Source organism: Homo sapiens, chromosome 2 (genome assembly GCF_000001405.40).
Source record: "Homo sapiens chromosome 2, GRCh38.p14 Primary Assembly".
NCBI lineage: Eukaryota > Metazoa > Chordata > Mammalia > Primates > Hominidae > Homo > Homo sapiens.
This window is the reverse complement of record NC_000002.12, coordinates 9,992,665-10,004,212: the sequence shown is the minus strand read 5'-3', so window position 1 is coordinate 10,004,212 and position 11,548 is coordinate 9,992,665. Positions and strand designations below refer to the sequence as shown.

General features: G+C 43.8%; 1 protein-coding gene and 1 long non-coding RNA gene across 9 annotated transcripts in view; one reads left to right on the top strand and one right to left on the bottom strand.

Annotated features, from left to right (window-relative positions):
• Nucleotides 1-712: 712 nt before the first annotated feature.
• On the top strand, nt 713-11,238 carry LOC124905970 (uncharacterized). Its single transcript, XR_007086207.1, has 2 exons — nt 713-1,286; nt 7,786-11,238. It is a non-coding gene; the product is annotated as an uncharacterized LOC124905970 (long non-coding RNA).
• The window catches only part of GRHL1 (grainyhead like transcription factor 1), a 50,585-nt gene continuing 40,972 nt past the window's right edge, over nt 1,936-11,548 (bottom strand). For 7 of the 8 annotated variants that reach the window (XM_006711882.4, NM_198182.3, XM_047444017.1 and 4 more), the window contains 5 exons: nt 10,969-11,006; nt 8,243-8,334; nt 7,812-7,897; nt 5,184-5,248; nt 1,936-3,620 (listed from right to left, as the gene is read on the bottom strand). In XM_006711882.4, coding sequence (XP_006711945.1) covers nt 3,506-3,620; nt 5,184-5,248; nt 7,812-7,897; nt 8,243-8,334; nt 10,969-11,006 — 396 coding nt within the window. In that variant the 3' untranslated portion in view covers nt 1,936-3,505. Of the gene's footprint in view, nt 3,621-5,183; nt 5,249-7,811; nt 7,898-8,242; nt 8,335-10,968; nt 11,007-11,548 lie in introns of those variants that run through there. The other variant, XR_001738726.3, reaches the window with a different exon arrangement.

Here is an 11,548-nt window from a genome sequence, read left to right as displayed (position 1 = left end):
GAGGTTGGAGAGTAGGGGGTGGAGGGCCCACGCAGCACTTGTCCTTCACCCTGGAGGGGATCTGTTACATGCCCCAGATTGCTGGTCCCCTAGAAATGTTACTGAGGCAGCCTCTGCATTTTTGCAGGGATTGTTTTCTACTGTTTGACATTCACGTAACCTCCTAACGCTGTCTGGGGAAGATGCTACCCCCTGCTCTCCCCGTCTTTCCTGCACTCTCAGCAATGGGATGGGCTGACTGATGCCCTGTGGGCTGGAAAGCTGACCACAGTTGCTGCAGACCAGACCCCCTCACATAGTGAGTGCTGGGCTGAGGAATCCAGGAGAGCCCGAGGGGGGACACTGAAGGTGTATCGTTGGCCCTGCCAGCTGCAAGTGAACTGCTTCTGATGAATTTTAATAGGGAGAAAGAAGTATTTGCTAAGAATGGCAATCCTGATGCTCAGCCTTCAACTCATCTTGTTATTAATACCATCAATATCCCATGAGGCTCATAAAACGAGTCTTTCTTCTTGGAAACATGACCAAGATTGGGCAAACGTCTCCAACATGACTTTCAGCAACGGAAAACTAAGAGTCAAAGGCATTTATTACCGGAATGCCGACATTTGCTCTCGACATCGCGTAACCTCAGCAGGCCTAACTCTGCAGGACCTTCAGCTATGGTGTAATTTGAGGTCAGTGGCCAGAGGACAGATCCCGTCTACATTATGAGTGAAGCGGAGAGCTACTGCAGGGTTCTGAGCAGAGTCCTAATTTATATTTTAGAAGAATCATCATGGCTCCTAGATTAGGAATAAAACGAAGGGGCCCAGGGATGGAAACGATGAGTCCAGTTGGGTTACTGCAAAGATCCAGGCCAGAAATCCAGGCACAGTGGCACACACCTGAGTCCCAGATAATTCCACCTACTGGTCCTGCTCTGTGGCCTACTGGTCCGAGTCCAGCCCCGACTGATTTCTGGGCCTGTAATGTCTAAAAACGCTCCCTGCTGATGTTTTGCAAGTGACTGTGTTACTTGAAGGCAGTTCCTAGGATAAACTAGTCGCTTTATCATTACAGAATCATTCACTGAGCATCAACTATGTAACCAGCATTGGGTTGGGTGCCAGAGATCCAAAGCTAAGACACCAAAACCTGCTCTCCAGGAAACGAGAGGCTGAGAAGAGGGCCAGCAGGTGTCTGTCAGTACTTGGAGCCGTGAGAGCAGGGAGTGGGTGCTGGGCTGAGGAACCAGAGGTAATGGCCCTGGGGACGCCCGGGAAGAGATGAGTTTTGAGGCAAAGGTAAGTCCCGGGAAGCCAGGGGGTGAAGGAGACCCATGGTGTGAGGAAGGGCTCCCATAGAAAGGATGCGCTGGCAGGGTCCCCAGGCTTCCTGTGTGGAGCTGGACTCTGGAAGCACTGAGTGAACGGGAACCCAGGCTGCAGGAGAGTCTCCACTTTGGCCCGAGGGTTACTGTGAAAAGTGCAGATGTCCCAGGAGCCCTATCAGGGAGTTTACGTCATTAATCTGATCTTGTATCCATTAAAAATATATCCTAGTGTCTATCATATTTAGGCCCTGGATTACCCTGGAATATGTTCAGGACGCCTGTTTTAGAGATTCTAATGATTTAAATATTGGTAAATTTTTAAACTAAGTATTTTCTGTTAGGCTTTTAAACACTAAGAATACTAAGATTTTAGGTATGAAAGCATTTACCTTCAGCTTTAGTGGTTAAATTTTGGTAAGAATTGGAAAATCATTCAGGGATCCCTGACTTAACAATTACGTGGATCATTTCAGGCATCAGTAAGGAAAAGTTAACATGAAGAAAACAACCTAAGCGCACACATTAAGAAATAAGCAGAAAGTGCTAGCAATGAGATGCTTTTCAGCTCTCACGTTTTACTGAGCAGTGCAAAGTCAAATTGAAAAACAGGAAATGACATATTACGAAATAGACATATAAAATTTAATTCCTTTGGTTTAAAATACATCTTCAATGATACAATTAAAAATAACACGCAAGACAAAATCAACTTCATAAAAAATACAAAAGTTATATGACCCATATCCCATATCTTATCTTAGAAAACCAGCAATTTAGTTCCCATACTTCATTAGAATACTTTAACCTAAGACTGTAACTACCAGTCCATTTACACGAATGACCTAGTCTAGTTCCCTGAACCTAAAGATACCCGTGACTTTGTTATAAAATTACATATTTTAGTATTTTTATATACTTAAATGTGTACAAAATGTTCCCCTGCCATAGTAACATATTTTTGTGAATTCATGAATGTTTTCTAGAATTGTTAACATACAAGATAATCAAAGCACGAAGGCTCTGATGCGTGATAAAATAATCATTTCTCAAAACAGGAAGATGAGAACTGCATTTCGAGTTGTATCACTTGGTACGCAATACTTGCAATCTGTGTGCTGTAATTACAGTGTTTCTTCACTCTAAGTGCATCTGACTGATACTAGCATAACAAAAGACGTGATTGCAGTAGTGTTTTTCTTTTACTTCATTTGTTAAACAGTGCAGAAATCCAAATAACAACATTCTCAACAGCAAACAGAATCTCTGTCATTTGAGAAGGTTTTGCTATGCTACAGAATGCCTGTGTTTGGAAAAACAGAGAAAAAGGTTTTTAGCGGGTTCCACTAAGCACAGTATTCTATCTGCTTGGTATACACGATCAAAAAATAACTTAACCTTTGTCTAGGGAAAGTCTTTAAGGTAGCTCTTACTGCATATCTTCACTATATGTACACAGACACCATATTTATATATTATATATTTATATAAGACATGTATGTACACATTTACAGACCTTCAAAAATATATTGCACTTATATACAATGCAGCTTTATCTTAACTGATTTCATACTGTAACCCATTAAAATTCTTCATGAGAAAGGCAGTTGATATGTCCGAGAAAGTCGCAAAGGAAGATTTCAGTAACATGCCCTGTTTAGTAAACATCTGGTGGAGAGTGAGAGGGTAAGGGAGAGAGGGCTCCCCCCGTACTCTTCAGGTGCGCTCCCGCTAACGTGAGGCAGTGGAGTTGTACTGAATTCAGGCAAGGGCACGAAATCCTTAAAGCCAAGCCTATCGCCTTTTCTGACTTCTGCTAGCGAGCAGGCCCACGACACTGTAGGCACAAGGCAGAGATCCCAATATTTTGATAAATAACGTAGCAGATGTCCTAAAGCTTCCCAGAGACTCTGTTAACTCTTGGAATAAAGTTTTCACTTTAAATCCTGTATATATCAGGAAATTCAAACATAATGGTATATGGATTTCTCTTTCATCTGAAAAACACCAATGCAATAGATTAAATGCTACCACCAAGCCAGATGCAGCCCCGCCTCCAACCTGCAAGGAACCCATTCCCTCGACATAGACCTGTGCTGGCGACATGGCTGACTGGGGTTACCTGCAGTTGCCAAACCGTAAGATCTAGAAACACCTGCACTGAACTCCTGGGGAGCTGTGGCCCGCAGGCCTTTAGATCTCCGTCAGGGTGAGCTTGTAAGACCCCCCGGCTTCTTCAATCTGCAGCTGGAAGGTGTCCTCATTGGAGTAATGCTTCACAATGTTGTCGTCCATGTTCACCAGGATCCTGGATGGGGGGGGACAAGACCAACCAACTTCACTGCCACTTGGTCCTGGAGTCAGACCTAGATTGACCTGTTAGCTCTCCCACTTACTAGTTGCAGCATGTGAGGCAAATTATTTAAATCTCCTTAAGCCTCAACTTCCTCATCTATAAAATGGGGATAATAATAGTACCCATCTTATAGGATTGCTGAGAGAATTGAGTTAGGAGGAAATCAGGTGATATATTTATATCATAGCATTTGGAAAATGAAATATACTGGCTTATTTATGATTATTATTTCCAGCATGTATTTCATAGTTGTCACTTGGTAAATGGTACTTGGCTCATACCTGTGATGCCAGCACTTTGGGACGCTGAGGCAGGAGAATCACTTGAGCCCAAGAGTTTGAGACCAGCCTGGATAACATAGCAAGATCCCATTTCTACAGAAAAATTTTAAAAACTAGCTGGACATGGTGGTACATGCCTGTAGTCCCTGCTACTTGGGAAGCTGAGGTGAAAGGATGGCCTGAGCCCAGGAGTTCAAGGCTACAGTGAGCTCTGATTGCACCACTGTACTCCAGCCTGGGCGATAGAGTGAAACCATCTCTAAATGAATAAAGCAAAAGCACATCAATAACACTAACTTACATGATGTGAAGTCACAGCCCCCTGACAAATTACACACTCCAGCAAGTGAGCCTCAAAGTTTAAATGAACTACTATTATCAAACAAAAAATAAAGAATACAAAAACAAGAAAATAAACAAAAATAAATTAACTACTATTAAGTCCAACTCTTTCCACTAGAACCATCTAGAAATTTCCCATTAGAATTTGTTTTAAAACTAAGCCAAAAAATTCTTATGCTAGCCACTGCTTATCCATGCCAAACATCATAGACAGACAAAAAAGAACTAAAAATACTAATTTCTAGACAAAGCAGCAACGTGACATAACTTGGAAATAGGATCCTGAGCAGGAGGGTAGAGCAGGGCATGGGCTGCAGAGGCAGGGAATACCAACCATGGCCCCGAAAAGCCTCTTGAACTCTGAGCCTCAGCCGCCTGTCTATAAATATAAACAAGCCCTGAGACCAGCTCAGAAAGAAGACGTGAAGACCAAGCGCAGCACCGTGGGACGTGCCCAACCCAGTGCCCGGCTCCAACGGGCTCGACACACGGAGGTGCTGCCCTGGCCATCCTCAGTGGCGCTGGCCACACACCCTGGAGTGTGGAGCCATGGCACTGCTGCCAGGCATGTGGAGGGCAAAGAAGGTGACTTGGAGAAACAATACACAAAGATCTCCTCAAGGCAGATCAATTTTATCTAAGTAATTTCGTATATAATTTAGAAAAGCCACATTCCAGCACCCAGGTTTCTTTGGCTGCTTCTGGACTGGGCACGATGCACACGTGTCACACTGGCACAGGGTGTGTGTCACTGGCACAGGAGGGTGTCACTAGCATGCACGGTGTGTTACATGGTGCTGGGGGGTGTCAACAGCACTGGGGGGTGCGTCACACTAGCACTGCGGGGGGCATCAGCACTTTCCGAGGTACACAGGACGCAGTGGCTGCTTACCCCTTTTTACACTTCTTGAATATTTTCCCAATCTTGTCATGGGGAACATCGTATTTGTCTGAGATCTAAAAGAGGAAAGAAAAATAATTACAAAACCCTGTATCAAGGCTTTAGAAACCAAACAACAAATATATATATATGTATATATATGTGTACATATATATACGTATATATATGTGTACATATATATACGTATATATATATGTGTACATATATATACGTATATATATGTGTGTACATATATATACGTATATATGTGTGTACATATATATACGTATATATGTGTGTACATATATACGTATATATGTGTGTACATATATATGTATATATATGTGTGTACATATATATGTATATATATGTGTACATATATATGTATATGTATATGTGTACATATATATGTATATGTGTACATATATATGTATATATATATGTGTACATATATATGTACATATGTATATATATACATGTACACACATATATACATATGTATATATACGTATATATATGTATATATATACGTATATATATGTATATATACGTATATATATGTATATATATACGTATATATATGTATATATATACACACACACACACACACACACACATGCATAGTCACTCGACTTTTTGTTTTTCAAAAACGCAGACACAAAGACATGGAAAAGCCCCAGCTCGTGTGCTGGGGGCCTCCAGCTCTCCTCAGCCCGGCTGCCCCTCACTGTAATGAGCTTCTGGGGAGCTGTGGCTGTCTTCCTTTCGGGACATAGAGGCTATTTTTAATATTTTTAAAGAGAATGGGTGAATTGCTCCAAGGACAAACAGCTGATTCACTCTAGATCAAACGTTACACTTGTCATCCAGACCATCCTCAGGCTGGCATCACCAGCTTCACCTCAAGCCACAGAGCAAAGCTCAAGGTGGCACTGAGAAACAGAGCCTCAGGTGGCAAACGTGCAGATCCTGCCAACCTTCCAAACACGTGTTTCAGACCAGACCCCAGCTCCAAGTTCTCACCACACAAACCCTTTTTCTTTTCTGTACGAGTGGATGATAATACTTTGTGTTCTGACATGTAAGACCTGTCATGAGTTCCTCGTGAGCCATGAACAGTTATGCTGGCCCAGTAATTCTGCATCCTCTTTACTCTCCTCTTTCCCTGTAATCAGAATTTGCATGTTTTTTGTTTGTTTGTTTTTTGTTGTTTTTTTTTTTTTGAGACGGAGTCTTGCTATGCCAGGCTGGAGTACAGTGGCGGGATCTCAGCTCACTACAACCTCCACCTCCCTGGTTCAAGTGATTCTCCTGCCTCAGCCTCCCGAGTAGCTGGGATTACAGGCGCCTGCCACCAAGCCTGGCTAATTTTTTGTATTTTTAGTAGAGACAGGGTTTCTCCATGTTGGCCAGGCTGGTCTCGAACTCCTGACCTCAGGTGATCCTCCTGCCTCTGCCTCCCAAAGTGCTGGGATTACAGGTGTGAGCCACCGCACCTGGCCAGTTTGCATGATTCTTAAGACATGATGAAGGGTCATCAAAAGGCAAGAAAAGAGAAACCCAGGGGACATCCTAGGAGGCAGGAAGTGACAGTGGGAACGGCGCTGCCTGTGCTGTGGGCAGGCAGGGATGCACTGAGTGACACCCGTGGACTTGGGGCGCCTGGCTGAGAGACCGCACAGCAGCTCCCCAAACCCACGCCCCATCTCCCTGCTTTATTAATCTTCATGGCACTCATCAGTACCTGAAAAATGACCTCAACTTCTTTGCTTATTTTGGTGTCTGTGTCTTCCTAACTACAAAATAAACTCCATTCAGCACTGTGTCACTGACGCGCATAACTCCAGTGCCCGCCACAGTGCCTGGCATGAAGCAAGCCCTTTATCAAGATGTGTTAAATGAATTCAACACACTACAGTCATCAGAGGGAGCTGGGGGAGATGCTTTTAGCCCAATTATGGACACACTTTGAGCTTAAAGATCTCTACGGTCTCTAGGAGACAGGCTGGTAAATATCTGCACTCAGTGCTGATGACATGCGTTTTTCCAGTGCACAGCTGGAACGGGAAATTAACACAGCAGCCTTCCATGTTTCCTCTCTTACTGATATCCCCACAGGGAGCATGGGGTCAGTTTATTCCAGCCTCGTGCTGAGATCCTCGTAAGATGGACTTACGGCCATCACTGGTTACACGTCTACTTTCTCTGCAATAGGCTGTAGTGAGGTCTTGATGCAAGTTCAGTAATTTCCTAGGATTGGGAGTTTTAAAGGTAGACTGAGGAGCCACTGTTTTTATGTATGAAGTTTTTAAGATTGTACTTGATTAAAAATCACTTTTGTTAGCTTCTAAGTGGCTTGCTAAATGGCAATCTCCCTTTAACCACGTATATAAAAATTAAACATTTCATAGGCCATCACAGATGCATTCACTTCAGTGGAACAGGTGTGACTGAGTGACTGTGTGAGTTAAGACCCCTGGGTGAGGATAAAATGTGGGACGCACGACGACTCGAGAAAGGTGTCAGGGATTCCAGAAGGTCTGACAAAGGATTTGGATCATCTGATAAAGTGTTTCAATGAAATCCTATGTACTTGTCCTTTCATTTTGTACAGGGGATTACAGAGTTGATCCTACTTACAGCTTCCATCAAGCCCTTCAAAGATGGGGTTTTGAGCATCAGGGCATCAAAGACTTCTTCTGACTCCTTTCGAACGTAGAGCAGCACTAATCAATCCCCAACCAGGAATAAGGAAGGGAAAAGAGAGGAAAAAAAGGATACAGTTCACATGAGCAAAAGAGGAAAACAGACCACGGTACCAGCTAAAATAAAAACCACATTCACATCAAGGATGACAAGCATCAGCCAATATCAATTCTGTCTTAAGGAACACAGGTTTCAGCTTCTCTGAACTTTGCTCTAAGTCCTAGCTCAAGCTAGATGTCAGTCTGATGGAAGAATTCCCAAGCAAGTGAAACTGGGAAAAATGTGCTTGAACCATTTATGCTTTTGATAGATTCTGAACTCACTTCTGATTTAAAACTCCCACTAAGAAATGGAAACGAACACACCTCTCTTTGGTTCTTCTATCCGGGCCAGCTTGGTAGAAGGAGGGACAGCAAAGTCATCTTCTGTGCCGTACGGCCCCCTTTTCAAGACAGAGCTGCAGTGATCCAAAATATGCCGTTAGTGATTCAACTTAACCAGCTGCATCAACATTAAGGTGTTTTAGAGCCTGTCATGGAACTAGATTTAAAATGACTTTCATTCTTTATCTGGTCCAGCTTCCTTATTTGTGGATGAAAAATCAGGCTAAAGGAAGATCCTGACTCCAGGGCTCATGGATATTTACAGGCAGACATGGGACCACACTCAGGTTCCCTGCAGGTATCTGCACTCTCATCAGATAAAGCTGCCTTCTCGAAGATGAGGCGCTTTGGTTTTTTTTTTTTTTTGTGAGACAGGGTCTCATTCTGTTGCTCAGGCTGGAGTGCAGTGGTGCAATCATGGATCACGGCTCACTGCAGCCTCAACCGCCCAGGCCCAAGCAATCCTTCCACCTCAGCCTCCCAAGTGGCGCACACCACCACACCCAACTAATTTTTTTATTTTTGTAGAGATGGGTTCTCCCTATGTTGCCCAGGATGTTCTCAAATTCCTGGGCTCAAGCGATCTTCCTACCTTGGCCTCCCAAAGTGCTGGAATTATAGGCATGATCCACCACGCCTGGCTGTCTGGTGCTTCTTTTCAGGAAACACTCTATGGAGGAGGCAGGATCTGAGATAACCTTGTACAGGCAGTGACAAAGGAGATGATGTTTCAAAACACTGAGGAAGTGTGAGCAGGAAAATGCAGGGCCAGCCTGGCTCAAACAGAATGGCCCACAGGAAGCCATATCTAGAAATTTCGGGAAGCCGACTCTACCGTGAATGTCCTGATCATTCAGCTCTAAGGAATTAAATTTTACATGGCAGAGAAGAGGGAATAGTTGAAAGGTCTGTGAGACTGAGTGTGGTACCCAAAGTGTGTTGGTACCCAAAGTGTGTGGTCAAGACTGGAGGGGACCCCAGGACCTTCAAGCAGAAAAACCAGGGGAAGGAGGCTGGTATAATCCGAGCACAGGATTCCACAGGTTTAAAATATGGTGGTATCATGGAAGCCAAAAGGTGAGAACAGACCAAGGAGAGTCTGAGGAGAGAAAAACTCAGATCGAACGAACGCCTGGCTACCAGGGGCACCTGGCATGGAGGGTCCAGCAGGTGGTGTCACGGCAAGCAAGAGAAGAGGTAGATAACTGAAAGTGAAGGGAGGGAGTGCTGGATTTGGAGCAGAATGGCCACTTCAGGAGCAGGGGCTGAGCCTCCGAGACTCTGCCACCTCAGTTCCTAACACACAGCAGCCGTCTAGTGAAAGTGCCGGCAGGACTCAAGCCTGAAACACTAAGAATCAAAGGGGCAGTGCAGGCCTCGCCTTCAAAGAGAGGCACGATGGGTAACGTGTGGGGCATGAATGTCCCCAGTATGACGGTTTAAGCCCTGGGAATGGATGGAAGATGAGGGAAGAGGGATGCTGAGGAATGAACTTCCCATGGAAATCTTGGCTCTCTCCATCAGGATGCACCTTTCTGAGGGCAGATAACAGAAAGAGGGAGGCTGAGGCGGGAGGATTGCCTGAGACCAGGATCTCTACAATAATAATAATAATAATAATAATAATAATAATAATAATAATTAGATGGGTGTGGTGGCATGTGCCTGTAGTCCCACCTACTCAGGAGTCTGAGGCAGGAGGATCACTTAAGCCCAGAAGCTCAAGGCTGCAGTGAGCTGTGACTGCACCCCTGCACTCCTACATGGGCCTCAGAGCAAGACCCTGTCTCTAAAAGTAAAATGAAATAAAAACAAAAAGAATCTTTGCCTTGTTGAAAAAGTCCCAGAGCCATCAAGAAGGTTCTGATAGCCCAAAGAGGGGTAGCGTCAGCCCCCCTCCACTAGGCAGCATGAGTAGGGGGCTGCCCGGCACAGGAAGGCAGAGCCCAATTCTGGGACAACCTGAGCATCAAAGTAAATGACTAATGAATCACAGCTTATTGAATAAAACAGGAAACTATGAGTTCATACTGATAGCAATAAATGAACGAGTAAACTGAAAGTTTGATGGGGAATGAGATATTTACAAAGCTACAATGCACCTCCCCAGACAACACTTACTATAAAAGGAGCCACTTTGCAGTGGAGAAGCTGGCAGATACCAGCTTAATCAAGTGACCAAAGAACACCATTAGTAACAGATAAACTGACATCAAGCGCCATCTGCTAGGACACACGGAGAACCCAGCCTGGCCTCTATGACATCCCTGCCAGGCCTGGAATCTAACCATGAGAGAGCAGCAGACACACGCAAACTAAGAAGAGTCTACAAAACAGCTGGTTGTAATCTTCAAAAATATTTGGTCAGAAAAGTTAAGGAGTGGCTTAGTTCTAGACTGAAGAAGATCAACAAACATGACAAACAACTACAATGTGTGATCCTGAACTGGATCCTTTTTTGCTATAAAGGACATTATTGGTGCTAATGAAGCAATGTTAATATTCTAATCTTGACTGTGACACAGGAGGATGTCCTTGTTGGTAGGAAATATATACCACGATATTCAGGAGTGATGGGCCATCAGGCTGGCAACTTATCCTTGATGGCTCAGGGAAAAATGAGTTCTTTGTACTGTACTTGCAGTTTTTCTACAAGTTTGAAATCATTTCCATTATTAAAACAAAACAAAACAAAACATAAATCTTACCCTTCACCCTCCAATTCTTCAGAGGCAATGGGAAGGACCTAAGACCAAAGGAATAGATTGCTTTTCAAATGTATGCTCAAAATGTTTGGCCATAAATGAATTATTCCTAAAATGGAAATAATTTTGAATTTCACCAATCTAATATAAAATCCTTTAGCCTTAGTTTTCAATAACAGATTCTTACAGATGTCTTGAACTCCTTTAACTCAGTGGTTGGGCCAAATCTGGTCTAAAGCCAGTTCATGTAAATAAAGTCTTTACTGAAACAAAGCCACGCTCATTCATTCACATGCTGCTTATGGCCATGTGTGCACTAGTTCGGCAGCACTGAGCAGCACAGTGGAGACCACGGGGCCCCAAAAGCTGAAAACCTTTACGGCCCAGCCCTTCACAAAAACAGTGTGCTAACCCCTGCTCACCTCCAGCTTCCCATTAGAAACTAAATGTACTGGCCATGGCCCCAAGAACTCTGACGAATCTTTAGTCCTTATAAATCTGTCCACAAAGTGCATGAAAGACTGTCTTTTTGATATTTATTTGCACTCAGCATAAAACCATGCTTCATTCTACTGAAGTTTCT